The 24,299-nt window shown below is 39.9% G+C and overlaps 1 protein-coding gene across 45 annotated transcripts in view; it reads right to left on the bottom strand.

Annotated features, from left to right (window-relative positions):
- Positions 1 to 229: 229 nt before the first annotated feature.
- Positions 230 to 24,299, bottom strand: part of ZNF567 (zinc finger protein 567) — a 60,573-nt gene continuing 36,503 nt past the window's right edge. For 34 of the 45 annotated variants that reach the window (NM_001387762.1, NM_001387761.1, NM_001387760.1 and 31 more), the window contains 3 exons: positions 15,224 to 15,350; positions 14,869 to 14,955; positions 6,400 to 8,788 (listed from right to left, as the gene is read on the bottom strand). In NM_001387762.1, the coding sequence (NP_001374691.1) occupies positions 7,068 to 8,788; positions 14,869 to 14,955; positions 15,224 to 15,350 (1,935 nt within the window). In that variant the 3' untranslated portion in view covers positions 6,400 to 7,067. The other 11 variants (XM_047438330.1, XM_047438329.1, XM_047438331.1 and 8 more) reach the window with 6 other exon arrangements.

Below are 24,299 nucleotides of genomic sequence, written 5' to 3'. Positions count from 1 at the left end.
AAACAGACCAAGAAAAGGGCACCCGAGCAAGACAAAACGTCTAGATAAGAATTGCAAGGCCGGGCGCGGTGGTTCACACCTGTAATCCCAGTACTTTGGGAGGCCGAGGCAGGCGGATCATGAGGTCAGGAGATCGAGACCATCCTGGCTAACACAGTGAAACCCCATCTCTACTAAAAATACAAAAATTTAGCCGGGCATGGTAATGGGTGCCTGTAGTCCCAGCTACTCGGGAGGCTGAGGCAGGAGAATGGCATGAACCCAGGAGGTGGAGCTTGCAGTGAGTTGAGATCACGCCACTGCATTCCAGCCTGGGTGATAGACCGAGACTCCGTCTCAAAAAAAAAAAAAAATTGCTCTACTTGGCCAACCGCAGTGGCTCATGCCTGTAATCCCAGCACTTTGGGAGGCTGAGGCAGGCCAATCACTTGAGATCAGGAGTTTGTGAGACCAGCCTGGCCAACATAGGAAACCCCTTCTCTACTAAAAATACAAAATTAGCCGGGTGTGGTGGCACGTACCTGTAATCCCAGCTACTTGGGAGGCTGAGGCAGGAGAATTGCTTGAACCCGGGAGGCAGAGGTTGCAGTCAGCCGAGATCGCACCATTGTACTCCAGCCTGGGTGAAGAAGTGAGACTCCATCTCAAAAAATAAATAAATAAATAAATAAATAAATAAATAAAATTGATCTACTCTAACGAAAAAGCACAGGAAAAAAAAAAAGGAAAGAAAGAAAGAAAGAAAGAAAGAAAAAGAAAGAAAGAAAGAAAGAAACTCAAAACACCTGATGCCACTCCACTCATGCACCTTGCAAAGGCTGAGTAGGGAACCTAGACTTCTACTCTCAGTAGACTGTAACAAGATACTCTGACCTCCCTGCCAGGATGGTTTCAGGAAGACTGTGAAGGGAGCCAGGACTATAACTGCAGATGGAATTACGTAGGGCCCCTGGAGTCATTTGGGGAATCTGGATTTCCATTCCCATATGCAGCAGTAAAAAGATACTTGTTAAACTACCTGCTGGGCCAGTGTCGGAGTAGGCATAGTAAAGTCAGGATCTTCACTACTATCCCGCCTAACAGGGCCAGCCCTGCCTCTGTGGTGTATATGGAAGGCAAATGGAAATCATTAACAAGGCACCGCTGTCTCTCTTACTGGGGTATAAGAGAGGTATAAAAAGGTGACTAATAGGGAGCCAGAACTCCTCAGTCACACCTAACCGTGAGGAGGAGCACTTCCACCCAGGTGTCAGTAGAAGGTGAGTGGGAAATCTGGATTCTCACCCCCTATGTGGCACAGCAAAATGGCACAGTTGCCCTCCCCATGCCAGGGTGGTATCAAAAAGCCAGCTAAAACAGGTTTAAATAAGATCTACAATCTCATAATAGATAAAATTGCACATTTCAATGGAAATTCAATAATTGTAACCAGGAAAATCTCAAATGAAAAAAGACGAGCATGAAAATGACAATGATGTCAGAATTATATGATAAATACATGAAGCAGACATCATAAAAATGCCTGAACAATCACACACTTGAAACAAATGAGATACAATATCTCAACAAAGAATTAGTCCAGACAAGAAATTAGAAGACATACAAAATAACCAAATAGTATAGAATTGAAAATATAACTAAAATAAACTCAAATGGAGGGACAAAGAGTGGAAACAGAGGAGACAGAGCAATCAGTGAACTGCAGTACAGAACAATAGGAACTACCCAATCTGAACAAGAGAGAGATAGTACACTGAAAAAAATAACATGAAAAGAATGAAGAACTGTGAGAATGTAACACAAGATTAACATTCATGCCCTTGAAATCCTGGAAGGAGAGGAAAAAGAAGACAGGGCTGAAAAAGTACTTAAGGAAGCCTGGACAACACGGTGATACCATCTCTGTAAAAAATATAGAAGTTAGCCAGGCCTCTTGGTGCATTCCTGTAGTCCCAGCTACTCAGGAAGCTGAGGTGGGAGGATCGCTTAAATCCAGGAGGTCGAGGCTGCAGTGAGCTGTGATCATGCCACTGCACTCCAGACTGGGTGAGAGAGCAAGACATCCCCTCTCCCCTACTACAAAGGACTTAAAGTAGTAATTGCTAAGAACTCACCAAATTTGGCAAAAGACAGATTCAAGAAGCTGAGTGAATTTAAACAAGATAACTTTCTTCCCATCCCCAAAACGTAACACCGTAACACATTGTACCCAACTTGCGAAAATTAAAGACAAGGCCGGGTGCAGTGGCTTACACCTGTGATCCCAGCACTTTGGGAGGCCGAGGCAGGTGGATCACCTGAGGTCAGGAGTTTGAGACCAGCCTGGCCAATAGGGTGAAACCCCGCTTCTACTAAAAATACCAAAATTAGCCGGGTGTGGTGGCATGCACCTGTAATCCCAGCTACTTGAGAGACTGAGACAGGAGAGTCGCTTGAAACTGGGAGGTGGAGGTTGCAGTGAGCCGAGATCACACCACTGTACTCCAGCCTGGGCAACAAGAGTGAAACTCCATCTCAAAAATAAAATAAAATTAAATAAAATTAAAGACAAAAAATAAAAATCTTGAAAGTAGTAAGACAGAAATACCATATTTTTAGAGGAAAAAAATTAAAATAGCAGATTTCTTATGAGAAACCATGAAGACCAGAAAGAAGTGACATTTTTCAAGTGCTGAAAGGAACAACTCTCAATCCCAAATCCTATTTTCAGCAAACTATGTTCAAGAATGAAAGAAACCTACATTAATCATTACAGAAACACAAATCAAAATCTCAATGAGATACTTGACACCCACAAAAAAGGTTTTAATTCAAAAAATTTTTTGAAGGAAAATAAGTGATGGAAAGAATATGGAGGAATGTGAACTTTTTTTTTTTTTTAATTTTTTGAGACGGAGTCTTACTCTGTCACTCAGGCTGGAGTGCAGTGGCACAATCACAGCTCACTGCAACCTCTGCCTCCCAGGTTTAAGCTATTCCCCTGCCTCAGCCTCCCAAGTAGCTGGGATTATAGAACCCCACCACCAAGCTCAGCTAATTTTTTTTTTTTTTTTTGAGATGAAGTCTCGCTTTTTCGCGCAGGCTGGAGTGCAGTGGCGTGATCTCGGCTCACTACAATGTCCACCTGCCTGGTTCAAACAATTCTCCTGCTTCAGCCTCCAGAGTAGCTGGGATTACAGGCACACGCCACCATGCCTGCTAATTATTGTATTTTTAGTAGAGATGGGGTTTCGCCATGTTGGCCAGACTGGTCTTGAACTTCTGACCTCAATTGATCAGACTGCCTCAGCCTCTGAAAGTGCTGGGATTACAGGCATGAGCCACCACACCTGGCCTGAGAAATCTGAACCTTTTTGCATTGCCATTGGTAATGTAAAATAGTGAAGCCACTGTGGAAAACAGAATGATGATTGTTAAAAAAATTAAATAAAGCAGGGTGCGGTGGCTCACGCCTGTAATCCCAGCACTTTGGGAGGCCGAGGTGGGCGGATCACCTGAAGTCGGATGTTCGAGACCAGCCTGACCAACATGGAGAAACCCTATCTCTACTAAAAATACAAAATTAGCCAGGCATGGGGGAACATGCCTGTAATCCCAGCTACTCGGGAGACTGAGCTGGGAGAATCGCTTGAACCCAGGAGGCAGAGGTTGTGGTGAGCCGAGATCGCACCATTGCACTCCAGCCTGGGCAATAAGAGTGAAACTGTCTCAAAAAAAAAAAAAAAAAAAAAGAAATACAGAATTGCCATATGATACAGCCATAGACAGTTTCATAAGAAACTCATCAGTTTTTCATACAAAGAACATGTTAAAACTGAAAGTTATGAGCATGATTATGGAAAGATGCCCAATAATTATTATACAAATAATAATGATTATATTCATGATTATATTTTCTTTTTGAGACACAGTCTCACTCTCTTGGCCAGGCAGGCGTGCAATGGCATCATCTTGGCTCACTGCAACCTCCACCTACTGGGTTCAAGTGATTCTCCTGCCTTAGGCCCCCGAGTAGCTGGGATTACAGGAATGCGCCACCACACCTGGCTAATTTTTGTATTTTTAGTAGAGAGGGGGTTTCACTCTTGGCCAGGCTGGTCTCAAACTCCTGGCCTTAGGTGATCTGCCCACCTTGGCCTCCCAAAGTGCTGGGATTACAGGTGTGAGACACCACGCCCAGCCTCAAAAGTTTCAAAGTTTGGCCATTTATAAAACTGCCCGTTAATATCTCATACTTTCTAGTTCTTCATATTCAAGAGCTATAAAACATGAATATATGTAGTATGTTTGAAAATAAAGTGGACATTGGATACAATGTTCTACTGAAACAGTACATGGCTATTTCATGATAATCAGTAAATCAGGAGACAGGGCAGCACATGCAGTGATGCCACAGATACTTTTTATTTTTTGTGGTAGCCACTGAAATGTCTGGAAATGCAAAATCAAAGGGGAGTAGAATGTCCCAGAGAATGTGACTCACATGTTCCCCAAATCTTTGGTGGGTTGACGCTAGGATAAACATCCAGTTAGGCCATCCTCTCCACCTAGAAAAACAAGGTAGGCTTCCATCTTTGGTCATGAGTACAATTCTTCTGTTAGTCACCACTGTTAGCATATACTAGTATATAACTCCCCTATAAATTCACAATGACAAAATCCTTGGGTTCTCACAGTTCTGATTATAAGTCCTATAATTACCTGTTTTAGTTACTTTAATAGGTTTATTAAACCTATTAATAATTCTTTATATTCTTTAAAAATGTATACTTTAAAAAATCTTTATGCATATATAAATTATTAAGGCTAAATTTAATGACATGTCTAGTCATTATAGACAAGGCATTTTACATATATACACACATACACACACGTGTGTTTTCTGTGTGCTACTATCAAGTCTAAATTTTTATGCTTTTGTCTCATTGCCCTGTTCATTTTTTGCTATGAAATTATCAGAAAAATAAGGATTGACAAGAATGGTTCCATTTACTACTGATTGGCAATGGCTGTCCCTCTCTAACAGGCCAGAGGGTCTGTTTAATATATTTAATGTCAAATATTTGAACCCTGAACCATCTTTCTGTTTATGCAGATATGGTTTACAGTTCTAAATCTTTTAAAAAACAATTTTCAGGCTGGGCACGGTGGCTCACGCCTGTAATCCCAGCACTTTGGGAGGCTGAGGCGGATGGATCACGAGGTCAGGAGTTCAAGACCAGCCTGGCCAACACAGTGAAACCCTGTCTCTACTAAAAATACAAAAATTAGCTGCGTGTGGTGGCACGTGCCTGTAGTACCAGCTACTTGGGAGGCTGAGGTAGGAGAATCGTTTGAACCCAGGAGGCAGAGGTTACAGTGAGTTGAGACCATGTCATTGCACTCCAGCCTGGACGATAGAGACTCCATTTCAAAAAATAAATTAATTAATAAATTTCAATTTCTACTGAATTTTATTACAATGACTTCATATACATAGTAAATACTGGTTATAAGTAATCCTTCCCAAGAAGGACCTGCAATAATGCTGTTCAAGTTGCCACTGAGCTTACTCTCCTCGCCAAAAGGATACCGTGGAAGTCACTGTCTTCGCAGATTTCCAATTCTCAAACATCAAAATCTCTCTAGTCACTTATTTGGGATTTTCAGAGACTTACATTTCTTATAGATTATGGTAGAAAAGGCTTATGTTGTAGCCAGGCGTGGTGGGTCACCCTGTAATCCCAGCACTTTGGGAGGCCGAGGCAGGCGGATCATGAAGTCAGGAGTTCGAGACCAGTCTGACCAACGTGGTGAAACCCCGTCTCTACTAAAAATACAAAAATTAGCTGGGCGTGATGGCACATGCCTGTAATCCCAGCTACTCAGAAGGCTGAGGCAGGAGAAGCACTTGAACCCAGGAGGCAGAGGTTGCAGTGAGCCGAGATCGCTCCACTGCATTCCAGCCTGGGCAACAGAGCGAGACTCTGTCTCAAAAAAAAAAAAAAAAAAGAAAAAAAAAAAGACTCTGGTACTCTCAAATTTTCCTCACCTATTTCCCTTCTCAATGTCCCTTTCTCTTGTATGAATTCTAATTCCTTGATATTAAATAAGGTGTAATAAGCTATGGCTAAAGTACCCCTAAAATCATGACAACTACAAGATTTCCCTCCAATACGAATTTGCTTGTTTTGCATTTAAGCATTGAGAGACAGCTAAAGGCCTTCTACATATACTGCATTCACATGTCCATGATTTATTAATAGCCTTCTCACAATTATAAAGCCGCAAGGTTTCTTTTTAGTAGAAATTCTCCAGTCTGAATGACCAAAAAAACCTCATATATACTCTTGGAATGAATAAGTCCAGTCCCAGGTATAAATTCAACAGAAATACATACACGCAAACACACACATGATATAAACAAGAATATTTACAGCAGTATTTTTATTATTACACAAAAGTATAAAAAATACAAATATCCATCAATAGGATAAACAGCAATATATTCTTAAAATGGAATAGTATGCAAAATGAAAATACACTACTGCCACATGCAATAATGTACAGATCTTAAAAAATTGAGTGAAATAAGCAAGACACAAAATAATTCATGATGTCTGATAAAATATATATTTATAAAATTGAAAACATGCAAAAACTACGTTTTGATGTTATAGGCTACGGAAGTGGTAACTCTTAGGTAAGTAACAACTAACTGCTTTTTATTACAGAGTGCAATGAGAAATATAGTTCATAAATATTTTCTCTTATGGAGATTAATACTTATAATCATTGTGTATCTTGTCTCTGCATGTATTATATAAGTATTTTTAAAAAATAAACTATTTGAGTCAGTAGGAAGAGCAGTTGACTTTAAAATTTAGCTTCATAGCTGATAGAGTTCAATAATAATGATCATACTTATTTTATATGCTAGTAAACAGTAGACAGTTATTCCGTATGGTACTTTAATAATTATTAGACTTGTGATTTAAAATTACATTAACATGTTTCAGCATGCTTTTCTTTTTAAAACTAAATGTTTACAACAGCTTGTAAAGAATTCATATAAGAAACCACATCATTTATTGCATTTCAATGTTTTCTCCCTTGTGAGTTCTTTGATGGACAATGAGGTTTCTCTTATAACTGAAAGACTTACCACACTCATTACAAACATAGGGTTTCTCACCTGTGTGAGTTCTCTGATGTACAATAAGATTTGTCTTCTGGCGGAAGCACTTTCCACATTCACTACATTTATATGGTTTCTCTCCCGTATGAGTTCTTTGATGATGAATGAGATATGACTTCCTGCTAAAGGCTTTCCCACACTGAGGACATTCATAGGATTTCTGGCCGGTATGTATTTTCTGATGTACAGTGAGGGTTGCTTTCTGGCGAAAGGACTTCCCACATTCATTACAAACATAGGGTTTCTCCCCTGTATGAATTCTCTGATGTAGATTGAGATTTGTCTTTTGACTGAATGATTTACCACATTCATTACATTCATATGGTTTCTCTCCTGTGTGAGTTCGGTGATGATCAATGAGGTATGACTTCATTCTAAAGGCCTTCCCACAGTGAGGACATTCATAAGATTTCTCCCCTGTATGTGTTCTCTGATGTGCTACAAGGGTTGTCTTCTGGCGGAAGGACTTTCCACATTCACTACAAATATAGGGTTTCTCCTCATTATGAGTTTTCTCATGAAGAGCAAGGGTTGTCTTCTGGGAGAAGGATTTCCCACATTCATTACAAATATAGGGCTTTTCCCCTGTATGAGTTCTCTGATGTACAGTAAGATTTGCCTTCTGGTGAAAGGACTTCCCACATTCTTTACAAATGTAGGGTTTCTCACCTGTATGGATTCTCTGATGTAGAGAGAGTGTTGTCTTCTGGCGGAAGGACTTCCCACAGTCATTACACTCATATGGTTTCTCTCCCGTGTGAGTTCTCTGATGACGAATGAGGTGTGACTTCAATCTGAAGGCATTCCTACATTGCAGACATTCATACGATTTCTCCCCTGTGTGTGTTCTCTGATGATCAGTGAGGGCTGTCTTGAGGCGGAAGGACTTACCACATTCATTGCAAACAAAGGGTTTCTCTCCTGTGTGAGTTCTCTGATGATCAATGAGATATGATTTCCTTCTAAATGCATTTCCACATTGATGACATTGATAGGGTTTTTCTTCTGAGTGAATTCCCTGATGCAGAATCAATACTGATTTCCTGCAGAAAGATTTCCCACATTCATTGCATGTATGTTTTTTTTCAATATTGGTTGCTCTTCTTTTTTTATTATATACAGATGGGTTTTCTCCTTTGTAAGGTCTACTATGTGTAATCAGGCCTCCCCTTTGAAGGAATGATTTCTCACAGTCATTATATCCAAATGACTGTGCTGGAGTTTCCGTTTTCTGATACTGCATAAGAACTTCATTATGACTGAAAGCTCTGGCACTTTGATTATGGGATTTGACTTCAGGATGAGTAGTCTCTTGTTTAGTACTCAGGAGTGATTTCCCATATCCATTATACTCACTAAGTCTCTTTCTTGCAGGATTTAGATTACTGATGATTAATTCTGAAACATTTTTCAAAATCCTTCCATGAGTATCATATTCAGGAGGTAGATTTTTTGAATTCACAGGGTTTTTGCCTAGAGTAAATGTCTTTTCATATATTTTACTCTTCTCCTTCACCAGTTTTTTGTGGTTGATGCTTACAACTGATCTAGAATACTTCTCTTGGTGTTCCTTGAATTTCACTAAAAAGTCTTCAGCTTTCCAGTTTTCTTCTAGAAAAGAATATAATTGATAACAATTTGTGAATCTTCACACATTTCCTATGCAAAGAAATTTTACTAGGGTCTAGCACATGGCGCAAAAAGAGACTCAGAACAAATGACCACTGGCCTGGCAGGGGTGCGGGGAGGGGAACCTAAACAAAAACTGCTTCAGAGTGGAAAAGGATGAAGATGTAAACAATAAACATTAATACCTTTTGCATTTTGCACTAAAACTTCTTAGAGAAAGTGAAACCAACCAAGAAGTCAAAGAATGGTAGAAGGGGGTTGATGGTTAGATAAGTGTTCAGAAAAAATGAAGTGAACCTATCAAAAGCATTAAAATGTAAGTAGGATGGACAAGAAAAATTAGCAGAAATCTTTGTTTAGCGAAAATACTAGAGGAAAGATTACTTCTGGAGGACACAGATCACCTATAATAATTATTATTATTTTTTTTTGAGACAAAGTCTCGCTTTGTCACCCAGGCTGGAGTGCAGTGGCGTGATCTCGGCTCACTGCAACCTCTGCCTCCTGGGTTCAAGCGATTCTCCTGCCTCAGCCTCCTGAATAGCTGGGATTACAGGCATGTGCCACCACGCCTAGCTAATTTTTTGTATTTTTAGTAGAGACGGGGTTTCACCATGCTGGCCAGGTTGGTCTCGAACTCCTGACCTCATGATCTGCCCACCTTGGCCTCCCAAAATGCTGGGATTACAGGTATGAGCCACTGTGCCCGGCTGATCACCAATACTTTTATACACACATCCCTAGATGACTGTGGTAAAACACTTCCAGCTGTTCAACCCACCTCCTCTTTCTATGTAGTCAACATTGATTAATTTAGCTTTTAAATTATCAATTCATTTTCTACAGTCTATGCTCTAATCCTCTACATAATTATGTATTATTTTCTCTTATGAATGGAAAATTAGGAAAATACTTCCGATAGCAACTTTAAAAAAGATCAGAATATATTCAATTGCTATATTCAGACTGCTGCTAAATCACTTCTTTCAGAATTGTTCAATAACAAAGCTCTCATGCCTAGTCCTCTTTTCAGTTACTGACTCACTTTTCCAGGTTTAAGACTGGCTTACATCCTTCCCCAATGCAGTAACATTCCTTTATTCCAGTTTTTCATATGGTAGATCAGAATACCAATTTCAAATGGTAGATTGAACAATCTGGTCCTAAATCAGAGTAACTTTAACCTTCATTTCTCTTATAAAAGTATAGCTATTTCTAACTTTACTTACCTTGCAATCATCTATATCTGATGAAGCAATGTTAAAGCTATGCTCAAAAATCTATTTCTTCATTGAGTCCAAGAACTTCAATTCTAACATATACAAGGAATTTCTCCTGTAAACAAAACTATATTGTCTAGATTCATTTTTTATATTCTCACAAGTTTTCAGGGTTGTCCACATACCTGACAGATCTCACCTGTTTATAACAGGTAGTTTTTGCCTCAGTCAGGCCTGATACTTACTGCCCTATATATACCTTACTTATTCCTAATAACACACTTGTGCACACATTCTTTTAATTAATTAGCTTGCCTTCCAGGTTTATTTCTATTTATCTTTAGAGAATCTTCAAAGAAATCATACCATTCCATGATCTCATAAACCCTTCATATGTTTCCCCTACCATTTTAAGCTCTACTTCTTTAAAATTTGCAATATAATTATTGCCTAGGAAAACTCTGTTAACAAATCTTTTAACAACCTTACACTTTGACATAAATATTTCATGAAAAATGCAGACTCGATAGTGATCCTTCTTCATAGAAATAAATACTTTATTGGTGATCTTTAAACTCTTTTGGGCTGGGCACGGTTGCTCATGCCTGTAATCCCAGCACTTTGGCAAGCCGAAGCGGGCAGATCACCTGAGGTCAGGAGTTCCAGACCAGCCTGGCCAACATGGTGAAACTGTCCCTACTAAAAATACAAAAAAAGCTGGCCGGGCATGGTGGCATGCACCTGTACTCCCAGCTACTCCAGAGGCTGAGTCAGGAGCATTACTTGAACCCGGAAGGCAGAGTTTACAGTGAGCTGAGATCGTGCCACTGCACTCCAGCCTGGACGACAGAACAAGACTCCATCTTAAAAAAAAAAATTTTACATGATCACTGCATACTCATAGTTAGGTGGTGTCTGGCAGAATGCAACCACTTCAAGCACAATCTGTAGGGACACAGCATGAGTAGGTACATCTAAAAGGAACTTGCTAGTATATGCTTTCTGAATGGATGAAAAGATATCTCCCTTACATAGCTCCATAAGCAATTAACACAGTAACTACTGAATACCTAACATGTTAAATAATACCACAGTAATGAAGGTTCAAAAGGGATCTTATCTTTGAGGAAAAGAATCCTTAAGAATGCTTGATTCCTTCAAAGAAATGAAGATTCAAAAGGGATCTTATTTTTGAGGGAAAGAATCCTTAAGCATCCTTAAAAATCCTTAAGCAAAAACAATTAGGAATGAAATTATATGACTATTCAAGAGTTGTGCATGTTTGTGTTATAGTCAGTAGTTAGGACAGGAATTCAGAAAAAAAGGAAGGTAGATATGATGTGCAGTAATCAAGGAAGATTTCACAGAGAAATCTTGAGACTTAAAAGATATAGTATAAAGGGAGAACACAACACAATGAAAAGTATCTATGTGATGACAAACCCTACATTCATGAACAACAATTAGGAGACTAGATCAAGTGGAAATTATCAAGAATTTTCTCCAAGAGAAAGTTGAAAAGACCAGATGAGGGCTTATTGTGACAGTTCCTGAAAGAAGAGAAATTTCCATTTCATAGAATAAATGATAAAAAAAAAGGGAAAAACTGATGGTATATTTTGTGAGGAAAGTAACAATATACATTGAATGAATCCAGACAAAATTTACCACAAAGACAAATGGTAATTCCAGTAATAAATACATGAAATAAGATAGTTGTCATTTTGTATGACATCAGTGAGAAATCAGAATATGGGAGGATGTCAATATATTTCACAAGCTGATAAACATATTACAAATTGTGAAGAGATCCATAAGAAATGATAAGAGAGACAGAAAAATCAAGTTGACTTTGTAGTAGAAACAAAATAAATTTGAAGGGATTGGGCACGGTGGCTCAGGCCTGTAATCCCAGCACTTTGGGAGGCTGACACGGGCAGATTGCCTGAGGTCAGGAGTTCAAGACCAGCCTGACCAACATGGAGAAGCCCCATCTCTACTAAAAATACAAAATTAGCCGGGTGTGGTGGCTCATGCCTGTAATCCCAGCTAACCAGGAGGCTGAGGCAGAAGAATTGCTTGAACCTGGGAGCCGGAGGTTGCGGTGAGTCGAGATCGAGCCATTGCACTCCAGCCTGGGCAACAAGAACGAAACTCCATCTCAAATAATAATAATAATAATAATAATAATAATAATAATTATTATTATTATTATTATTATTATTATTATTTTGAGTTAAATAATGGGAGGCCAGGCACGGTGGCTCATGCCTGTAATCTGAGCACTTTGGGAGGCTGAGGCAGGTGGATCACCTGAGGTCAGGAGTTCGAGACCAGCCTGGCCAACATGGTGAAACCCCATCTCTACTAAAAATACAAAAATTAGCCGGGCATGGTGGTGGGCACCTGTAATCCCAGCTACCCCAGAGGCTGAGGCAGGAGAATCACTTGAACCCAGGAGGTGGAGTTTGCAGTGAGCCGAGACTGAACCACTGCACTCCAGCCTGGGTGGCACAGCAGGACTCCATCTCAAAAATAATAAATAAATAAATAAATAGTGGGGAAAAATTTAAGAGCTGAGAAAGTCAGTGATTTTCATTTCTGACACATTGTCAGAAAATAGGTGAGATGATAGACTGTAGTACGCCTGATGAACTGGAGTGAAGGTAGGAGAAATGTGCTTTGTATGTTGACGTCAGTGCCATCTACATAAAATAAACAGCATCAGTCTGAGAATGCATGGAATCATTATAATTGAAAGGTAGATCATGTGAGGGCATATGAGAGAAATAAGACCGAGTGTTAAGTGAAACAATAAACATTTATTTAAAAAAATAAAATCTGTTATGACTATTATATGCCAAGCATTTTTCAGGTGATATGGCCACAGTGGTAAAGAAAACAGGCCAAGTTGTAAATAAGCATTCAAGGAATTAGGATAAGAATTAGTGTTATTTCACTTAAACAAAGGATTGATTGCAGGAATGATGAAAAGCCATGTAAAATGAACCACAAAGGTTTTATGGAAGAAAATGGCAACTTTGACTTTATCAACCTGGGTTGTGTTAAGTGAGTTCTAAAATTAATAGCTAAATTTGTAGTGAGAAGGGGAGCTTAGCACAGAAAACAAAGCCGAGGTGGTATGAAGGAAAGGAAATGTTAAGTAAGTAAGGAGAGGACCACTAACCAATAATTTTCTCTTTTTAAAGACAGGATGAAGAAAGCCTGAAAGAAATCTATTACAATGGTGCCAGGTGCAGTGGCTCAAGCCTGTAATCCCAGCACTTTGTGAGGCCGAGGTGGGCAGATCACAAGGTCAGGAGTTTGAGACCAGCCTGGCCAACATGGTGAAACCCCATCTCTACTAAAAATACAAAAAAGTTAGCCAGGCCTGTTGATGCGCACCTGTAATCCCAGCTACTTAGGAGGCTGAGGCAGGAGAATCATTTGAACCTGGGAGGCGGAGGTTGCAGTGAGCCAAGATGACGTCACTGCATTCCAGCCTGGGCTACAGAGTAAGACTCCATCTCAAAAACAAAAACAAAAAACAACCAATAAGTAAATAAATAAATAAACCTTTCCTGACAAAACTTATCACAATGGCAAGATAAGGACTGAGAAGGCTGGAAAAAGATACACGAGCTAATAAAAAAGATCTAAAAGAAAGATGGCTTATGGTACATTCAGAGTGGCAGTTGTTTTTGATAATATGAAGCAAACTAGGAAAGAATGTATTTGGGGAGAGTGATATATATAGTGTATTATTATTTTTTTTGAAATGGAGTCTTGCTCTGTTGCCCAGGCTGGAGTGCAATGGCACGATCTTGGCTCACCGGAACCTCCGCCTACCGGGTTTAAGCGATTCTCCGGCCTCAGCCTCCTGAGTCGCTGGGATTACAGGCATGTGCCACCACACCCAGCTAATTTTTGTATTTTTAGTAGAGACAGGGTTTCATTATGTTGGCCAGGTTGGTTTCAAACTCCTGACCTCAGGTGATCTGCCCGCCTCAGCCTCCCGAAGTGCTAGGATTACAGGTGTGAGCCACCGTGCCCAGCCGGAGAGAGTGATATTTAAAAGTCTGGTTCTGTTTTTGTTTTTGAGACAGGGTCTTGGCTCTGTAGCCCAGGCTGGTGTGTAGTGGTATAATCCTAGCTCACTGTAACCTTGAATCCTTGGGCTCAAGTGATTCTCCTACCTCAACCTTCTGAGTAGCTGGAACCACAGGTGTATGCCATCATTCCTGGCTTTTTTTTTTTTGAGACAGGCTCTTGCTCTGTCTCCCAGGTTGGAGTGGTGCAATCACAGCTGACCACAGACTTGACTTCCTGGGCTCAAGTGATCCTCCCACCTTAGCTTCCTGAGTAGCTGGGACTAAAGGTGCACACCACCATGCCCAGCTAACTTTTGTATTTTTTTTGTAAAGATGGGGTTTTGCCATGATTCTCAGGCTGGTTGCAAACTCCTGGGCTCAAGGGATCTGCCCATCTTGGCCTCCCAAAGTGCTGGGATGAAAGGTGTGAGCCACCACACCCAACCTTGGCTAATTTTTTATTTTTATCTTTTTGTAGTGATGGGGTCTTGCTATGCTGTCCAGGCTGGCTCTGAACTCGTGGCCTCAAGTGATCCTCTCACCTTGGCCTCCCAAAGTGTCAGATTATAGGCATGAGCCACCATACCTAGCCTAAAGGTCTGGTTTTGAGTTTTATAGGCATGAAGGTTTTCAGAGGTCAAGAGCCTTTAAAAAAAGATACTCCTGAAACATTTCAAAGGTATCACCCCCACTTGACCCTTTTAAATTTACATTCTGCTAGACTGTGTCTGCCTAAGAGCCAGAAACTCACCCAAGCAGGTATGACCTGCAAATGATGTCCATGGCTCTTCTCCTCGTTCCAACTTGAGGATCACATCAGGTTTGGTCATGTGACACCCTGAAAAGTGAAAAAAAGACTTAAGTTGATTGGGCTATAATACCACTGAAAAATGAGGAAAGGGGCATGTTCAGTACTGCAAATTAAGACACCCATTTGTGTAACAATATAGGTAGCACCTTGCACTGGGTAAGTGAAGACACAATCATTCATTCTGCTAACGAAAAGGAATTCATCACCTCTTATTCCTGAAATTCAAGATTATACACAATTAGGCACTTTGAGAGGAAGTGCATGCTACTAAAGTTTCAAAGAGGATTTTTCTTACCCACAGAGATGAGGTGGCAATAGTTTTCCAACATCACATCCATATATAGAGTCTTCTGAGCATGATCCAGGTGCTGCCACTCCTCCTGAGTGAAGTCCACAGTCACATCATTGAAAGACACTGATCCCTAGAATGGATGGAACTGTAATCAGAACAGGTGGACTTAGCCAGGTACAGTGGTTCATGCCTGTAATCCCAGCACTTTGGGAGGCTGAGGTAGGTGGATCACTTGAGGTCATGAGTTAAAAACCACCCTGGCCAAGATGGTGAAACCCCATGTCTACTAAAAATACAAAAAATTAGCTGGGCATAGTGGTGTGCGCCTGTAATCCCAGTTACATGGGAGGCTGAGGCAGGAGAATAGCTTGAAACCAGGAGGCGGAGGATGCAGTGAGCCCAGATCATGCCACTGCACTCCAGCCTGGGCGACAGAGCAGGACTCTGTCAAAAAAAAGGAAAAGAAAAAGAACAGGTGGACTGGATATTGGGAACTACTTTTGACCCTGCTTCCTTGTGGCAGTCATACGAATCCTAATATAGAAAGACTACAATTTTCCCTGTTTTATGATTTATATTGTAGGGAAAACAAAAATCAAGGTAAAAATATCCATCAGTTAGTTTTTAAATAACACATTCTAAGAATATTTACTGTGAAGCCACTTAATGCCAAAAACTGTATTTATTTATGGAAGTGCCAAGACAAACACTGTTTCTGCTCAGAAGTTACCAGAGGCATGTAACACATACTTGCAAGAAAATGTAAGTAAACACAAACCTGCAAGAAGGTGTCACAGGTACAACAAAGAAGTATGTACAAGATACAGCATGTATCACAAAGGTAGAACAATTTCTCAGGCTTCACTAAGGAGGAATATTGTATGTGCATGGTGAGATTTTTCAGCATGCAGCATTAACAGAGTAAAACAGTCAGGGACACTTTCCCTCAGATAATAATTATAAAATGTGCACATGCCATACAATAAACAACTAATAGCACTGGAAAGCAACCAAAGCAGGCGGAAACTGGAAAAGAGCTTATCCTTGAAGGATAGCAACTGCAATGTACAAGAACTGCTAATTTTGTGGCTGTTTTTGCATCATGGTACCTGAAACCCCACAGCTCTCATGGCATAAAACCACCACTTACTTCCTCAAAGGTGACGGGAGGACAGAAACGAGAGCTTGAGGCTGGGCGTGGTGGCTCATCTGAGGTCAGGAGTTCAAAACCAGCCCAGCTAACATGGCAAGACCCTGTCTCTACTAAAAATACAAAAATTAGCTGGGTGTGGTGGTGGGTGCCTGTAATCCTGCTACTTGGGAGGCTGAGGCAGTACAATCGCTTGAACCCGGGAGATGGAGGTTGTAGTGAGCCGAGATTGTGCCACTGCACTCCAGTCTGGGTGACAGAGAGAGACTGTGTCACACACACACACACACACAAAAAGTGAGAGCTGGAAATTTAGGTTAATTCTGGAAGTGAGGGAACTACAGAACGGATGAAAATGAAAATCTGAGCATAAACTCTGCCAAACTCCTGGTTGATAAAATATGCATGTGTTGGAGAGATCACCGAGGGCTTAGCAAAAAGCAGGCAGAAATACAACAGAAAAGAATCTTGAAAAATAAAAGTGCACCTAATAAGATTCTAAGGCTTCTGCTTCTTGACTGATGGTATTCCACAACCTGCTCATAGCCCAAGAAGAATAAAATTTAAGGCTTACGGGATTAAGGTGTCAGAGCTTGAACTGACAAAGCAGCAGGAAGTGTAGAGGGTAAAACTTGAAAAAGAGAAATGCAGGACGTGAGCCCCCAAATCTAAACACTCACCAATTCCTTGATTGAGAGAAAAGCAGATGAACACAAGAGAGAACCTATCTGCTTTCAGGAGGTTAGGGTAAAAGGCAGCAGCTAGAAGCTTGAAGAACTAAGAGGATATATCAGCTGCTTTACACTGAGCAGGAAGACAAAGTTTGATGTTTGATTACAAGCAAGCTAATTGCCTACTAAAAATAATAATAATTCTCAGAAGAACATAACAGATATAACAGAATTCAGATTACAATACTATTTATGATGTCCAGTTTTCTAGCAAAAATTACTAAACATGCAAACAAAACAAAACAAAAAGGAGTGGGGGGAATAAAACCTGTAGTCACAAAAAGACAATCACAGAAACTAACTCCTAGTGGGCCCTGATGTCAGATTTTGCCAAAAAAAAAAAAAAAAAAAAAAGGCTTCAAAGTAGCTGTTCTAAATGTATTCAAAGAAATAACTGAAATAAAAAATTAACTAGAGAAGCTCGATAGGAGCACAGAAATAGAGAATCAGTATCTGTGTAAATCAATCAAGAGAAAGTAAGTAATCTGAACAGAAAGAAAAAAGAATCATGAAAAATGAACAGACTCACAAAGATCCATAGGTCATATTCAAAAATCCAACATGGATATAATTAGAGTCCCAGAATGGGGAGAGAAAAAGAAAGGGCATAAATAAATTTTATGGAAATAATGGCCTAACTCCAAACTTGGCAAGAACTTTTAATTTACATATTCAAGGAGTTTAATTAACCCTAAAAGGATAAACACCAAAGAAAACCACACTTAGCCAAATCCTAATTAAACTGCTACACAGCCAAGAATTCTACACGCAGCAAAACTATATATTCAAAATGAAGGCAACATAAAGATATTTTCAGATAAAACCTAGAGAATTCATCACCAGCAGGAATGCACCATCAAAAATACTAATAGGCTGGGTGTGGTGGCTTACTTTTGTAATCTGGGCACTTTGGAGGGCTGAGGCAGGAAGACTGCTTGAAGCTAGGAGTTTGAGATCAGCCTGGGCAACATCACCAGCAGGACTGCACCATCAAAAATGCTAATAGGCTGGGCGTGGTGGCTTACTTCTGTAATCCGGGCACTTTGTGGGGCTGAGGCAGGAAGACTGCTTGAAGCCAGGAGTTTGAGATCAGCCTGGGCAACAAAGTGAGATCTCTATCTCTGGAGTGGGGGAAGGGGAAGGGGTGGTGGGGCCTAAAGGAAATTCTTCAGGCTTAAGGTAAAAATAACACTAAGGTCTTTAGGAAGGTATGAAGAAAATAAGAAAAATTGTAAGAGTATAAATATTCATTTCCTTTCTTCTTTATGAGATATGACTGTTTCAAGCAGCAGTCAGGGAATGTCTTCTGCTATTTTAGCATGAAAGCAACCATAGATAATATGTAAATAAATGAGCAAAGATGTGTTTCAATAAAACTTAGTTATGGACACTAACATTTAAATTTCATGAAGTTTTAGTGTGTCAGGAATATTTTTTCTTGTAAATGTTTTCAAACGTTTCAAATGCAAAGACAATTCTTAGCTCACAATCTGTACAAAATAGGAAACAGGCTGGATTTTGGCCTGTGGACTACAGACCCTTCTAATACCACTTATTGCAAACATAAATATCATATACATGGCAAACAAAAAAGTAAAAGACAGGTATTAATAAATGAAACTATAATGTGGCAAGATTGATATATTTTTACCATAACTAATTTAATATTAACCTTAAGAAAATCCTGGTAAGTTGAAGATCCATACTGTAATCCTAGGGCAATCACACAAAAAATGCAAACGCATAACTAAAAAGCTAACAGAGGAATGAAATGAATCATTAAAACGTATGTGACTGACACAAAATACAACAGAATGTAGGAACAGATAAGCAAGAACGGGTTAGGAGGAATTCAAATGCATATTACGAAGTGAATGAAGCCACTCTGAAAAGGCTACATGGTATATAGTCTTCCAGATTCTAACCAAATGGCATTCTGCAAAAGGCAACATTTTGGAGAGAGTAAAAAGATCAGTGGTTTCCAGGGGGTAGCAGGGAGGGAGGGATAAATAGGCAGAGCAAAGAGGATTTTTAGGGCAGTGAAACCATTTTGTAAGATAATATAATGGTGAATATGTGCCATTATATATTTGTCAAAACCCACATTATCAATATCAATAGTGAACCCTAATGTAAACTATGAATTTTGGGTGAAAATAATGTGTTAATGTAGCTCCAGGAATCGGACTAAATTAGCCGTAGACCAAAATGCTGCTCTTGACCTACACTAACAAAAACTTAAAAGCAAGCCTCAAAAGGATCAAAATGGACTGAAGTAACTTAATTCTTTAACGTAACATAACAAAATCCAGCATTCAGCAATTTAAAATTCAAGTAAAAAATTTCCAAGCATGCAAAATAGGACTAATATTCATGAGGGAAAAAAAATGATCAAAAGAAACAGACCCAGAAATGACAGAGGTGATGGATTTAACAAACAAGATGGGCTGGGCACAGTGGCTCATGCCAGTAATTCCAGAACTCTGGGAAGCTGAGACAGGAAGATCACTTGAGCCCAGGAGACCAGCCTGGGCAACATAGCAAAACCCTGTCTCTACAAAAAATTTAAAAATTAGCTAGGTGTGGTGGCACACACCTGTGGTCCCAGCTACACTGGAGACTGAGGTGGGGGGATCGCTTGAGCCCAGGAGTTAGAGGCTGCAGTGAGCTCTGATTGTACCACTGCACTCCAGCCTGGGCAACAGAGTCTCAAACAAACAAACGAAAAACAAGGATGTTAAAACAGGATTATTATAGGCCGGGCGCAGTGGCTCACGCCTGTAATCCCAGCACTTTGGGAGGTCTAGGCAGGCAGATCACCTGAGGTCAGGAGTTCGAAACCAGCCTGGACAAAATGGTGAAACCCCAATCTCCACTAAACATACAAAAATTAGCCGGGCATGGTGGCAGGTGCCTGTAATCCCAGCTACTCAGGAGGCTGAGGCAGGAGAATCACTTAAACCCGGAAGGCAGAGGTTGCAGTGAGCTGAGATCACACCATTGCACTCTAGCCTGAGCGACAAGAGTAAAACTCCGTTTCAACAACAACAACAACAAAACAGGATTATAAACATACTCCATAAGCTCAAGAATGTAGAAAAAAAGATAAACATGAGAGAAATGGAAGATATAAAAAGGATCAAAGAAAAGTTCTAGAGAAGAAAAATACATGATATGAAAAATACAACGGGTGGTAGTAACAACAGATTACACATTGAAGAAAGAAAAGATCAGTGAACTTGAAGAGAAAGAAAGCAATATAAACTAAGCAAAATGCTTTCACCGTTGGCTGAGTTCCAATAAAACTCTACAAAACCAGGCATCATGCCTGACTTAGCTCAAATGCAATGGTTTGCCAACCTCTGGCCTAGAGCAACCACTAAAAAACAAAACAAACAAGAAAATAAAGAAGTACTTCTAATAAGTGAATAAATAATACAGAAACAAATGAAATCATAAAAAATTTCTCAATCTAAAAAAAAAGAAAACATAATTGGAAAAAATAGGAAGATGGCATATTTAAATTCAACTATATTGATAATTACATTGAATGGACTAAAAACTCCAATTAAAAGATAAGAGTATCAGATTGGAGGAAAAAAGAAAAACCAAACCATCTACTAGCTGTACCAGATTAACTATAAACGTTAAAACATAGGTAAATAAAAGTATAAAGGATGGGCAAGGTGCAGTGGCTCACACCTATAATCCCAGCACTTTGGGAGGCCAGGCAGGAAGATCACTTGGACCCAGGAGTTCAAGACCAGCCTAGGCAACATAGTGAGACCCCACCTCTATAAAAAATTTAAAAATTAGCCAGATGAGGTGGCACATGCCTGCAGTCCTAGCTACTCAGGTGGCTACGGTGGGAGGATTGCTGGATCCTGGGAGGTTGATTGCACCACTGCCCTCCAGTCTGGGTGACAGAACAAGATCCTGTCTCAAAAAAAAAACAAAAAAAAAAACCAACAGTAAAAAGGATGGAAATCAGGTATATCATATACTATAGTTTGAATGTGTCCCCTCTAAAATTCAGGTGTAGGCCAGGCACAGTGGCTCACACCTGTAATCCTAGCACTTTGGGAGGCCAAGGCAGGCAGATTGGTTGAACCCAAAAGCTCAAGACCAGCCTAGGCAACATGGTGAAATTGTGTCTCTATAAAAAACAGAAAAATTAGCTGGGCATGGTGTCACATGCCTGTAGTATCAGCTACTCAGGAGGCTGACGTGAGAGGATCCCATGAGCCCAGGATGTTGAGGCTGAAGTGAGCCATGATTGTGCCACTGAAATCCAGCCTGGGCTACAAAGCGAGGCCCTATCTCGAAACAAAAACCAAACAACGTTCAGGTGTTGCCAATGTGATAGTATTACGAAGTAGGGCCTTTAATACGTGATTAGGCCAGTCATTAAGATTTCTCCCTTTGTGAATGGGATTAAGGCCCTTGTAAAAGGGGCTTCACGTAGCATGTGGCTGGCTTGTACTTTTGCCATGTGAGGACAGAGCCTCAAGGTGCCATCTTGGAAGCAGAGAACAGACCCCACCAGAAACCCAAACCTGCCTGAATCTTTATCTTGGACCTCCCAGCCTCCAGAATTGTGAGAAAATTTATTTTTGTTCTTCATAAATTATCCAGTTTCAGGCATTCTGTTATAGCAGCACAAAGAACAAAGATACCATACAATCATAAGAAAGTTAGAATGGCTATAAAAATATTAACCAAAATAGATTTCAGGACAATATTATTTAGAATATTATCAAGGATTAATTGAAGCATTTCATAATAATAGGACAGGGTGAATTCATGAGAGGATACAACAATCCTAAATATAAATGCATCTAAAAACAAAGCTTAGTTATAATAGAAGATTTCAACTTTCTTCCTTCAGTCATTGCTTTAACAGACTGAAGAACAATAAGAATACAGAAAACTTTCAACACAATCAACCAATTTAATCTCACTGATATTTACAGGGTACACCCAATAACATCAGAATATGCATTCTTTACAAGGGCACAGAGAACACTGACCAAATTAAACTGTACTCTGTGCTATAAAAGAAGTCTCCATAAATTTAGGAAGACATCATATAGACTCTGCTCTGACTGAAACAGAATTAAACTAGAACCAGTTACAGGAAGCTATTTGGAAAATCCCCAAATATTTGGAAATTAAACACATTTCTAAATAACCAATGAGCAAAAAACAAACATGAGAAAATTAGAAAATATTTTCAACTGAATAAGAAAATGCAACATGTCAAAACTTGGGAGCCCTTTAAATAGTGCTTACAGAGAAATTTATAGCATTTAAAGCTTCTATTAGAAAAAAAGAAATGTCTTAACTCAATGTACACTTCCATCTATGTAAGAATTGGAAAAGAAGAGCTAATTATACCCAAAGTCATGAGAGGGAAAGGAAATACAAAATAAAAGAGGAGAAATGAGGTAACAAAAATACTAGAAGAAATCCATGAAACTAAAAGCTGCTGTGGTACTTTGAAAAGATCAACTACATTGATATACCTGTAGCCAAAGAACCAGGGGAAAAAGTGAGACATACAAATCATCAATAACAAGAATAAAAAAGGGGTATTGTTACAGATTATACAAACATCAAAAGGATAAAAAGGGCAACAACTTTATGCCAATACATTTTACAACTTAGATGAACTGAACAAATTCCTAGACAGTCACAAACTACAAAAGCTCATTGAATTAAAAGAAAAACTGATAACCTGAACAGTCTTCATTCTATTACCAAAATTGAACTACTGGTTAAACAACTTTCCACAAAGAAATCTCCAAGTCAGATAGATGGCTTCACAGTGAATTCTAACAAACGTTTAAGAAATAATACCAATTCTATATAAATTCTTTCAGAAAATAATAAGAGGAGAGAATACAACCCAATTCATTTATGAGATAGCATTACCCTGACATCAAACAGAAAAACTATACATTAGATCCATTATGAACCACAGACAAGAAAAATCAGTAACAACATATTAGCAAATTCATCATATTTAATATATAAAACAATATATACAAAAGTATTATATCATGACCAAGTGGAGTTTATCCCAGGACAACTAAATTTTTCAAAAATCAATCAACATAATTCATTATAGTAATATTAAAAAAAGAAAAAAGCCATATAATGTGAAAAACCAATAGATGAAGAAACACTTTTTTTGTTTTTTGTTTTGTTTTGAGATGGAGTTTTACTCTTTGTTGCCCAGGCTGGAGTGCAGTGGCACCACCTTGGCTCACTGCAACCTCCACCTCCTGGGTTCAAGCGATTCTCCTGTCTCAGCCTCCTGAGCAACTAGGATTACAGGCGCCCACCACATCCAGATAATTTTTTTTGTATTTTTGTATGTTGCCCAGGCCAGTCTTGAACTCCTGGCTCAAGTGATTCGCCTGCCCTGGCCTCCCAAAGTGCTGAGATTACAGGCATGAGCCACCACACCTGGCCCAGAAAAACTTTTGAGAAAATTTAACACTCATTCATGATAAAAACTATCAGCAAACTGGAATGTCTTCAATCATTTAAAAAAGAAATTCCAGGCCAAATAGGAACAGCTCTGGTCTACAGCTCCCAGCGTGAGCGATGCAGAAGACAGGTGATTTCTGCATTTCCATCTGAGGTACCGGGTTCATCTCACTAGGGAGTGCCAGACAGTGGGCGCAGGACAGTGGGTGCAGCGCACCATGCGCGAGACGAAGCAGGGCGAGGCATTGCCTCACTCGGGAAGCGCAAGGGGTCACGATGTTCCCTTTCCTGGTCAAGGAAAGGGGTGACAGATGGCACCTGGAAAATCGGGTCACTCCTACCCAAATACTGCGCTTTTCTGACGGGCTTAGGAAACGGGGCACCAGGAGATTATATTCCGCACCTGGCTCGGAGGGTCCTATGCCCACGGAGTCTCGCTGATTGCTAGCACAGCAGTCTGAGATCAAACTGCAAGGCGGCAGTGAGGCTGGGGTAGACGTGCCCTCCATTGTCCAGGCTCACTTAGGTAAACAAAGCAGCCGGGAAGCTCGAACTGGGTGGAGCCCACCACAGCTCAAGGAGACCTGCCTGCCTCTGTAGGCTCCACCTCTGGGGGCAGGGCACAGACAAACAAAAAGACAGCAGTAACCTCTGCAGACTTAAATGTCCCTGTCTGACAGCTTTGAAGAGAGCAGTGGTTCTC

The sequence above is a fragment of the Homo sapiens genome, chromosome 19 (assembly GCF_000001405.40).
Source record: "Homo sapiens chromosome 19, GRCh38.p14 Primary Assembly".
In the NCBI taxonomy this organism is placed as follows: domain Eukaryota; kingdom Metazoa; phylum Chordata; class Mammalia; order Primates; family Hominidae; genus Homo; species Homo sapiens.
Note: the sequence above shows the minus strand (reverse complement) of the source record. Positions and strands in the feature narration are given on the sequence as shown.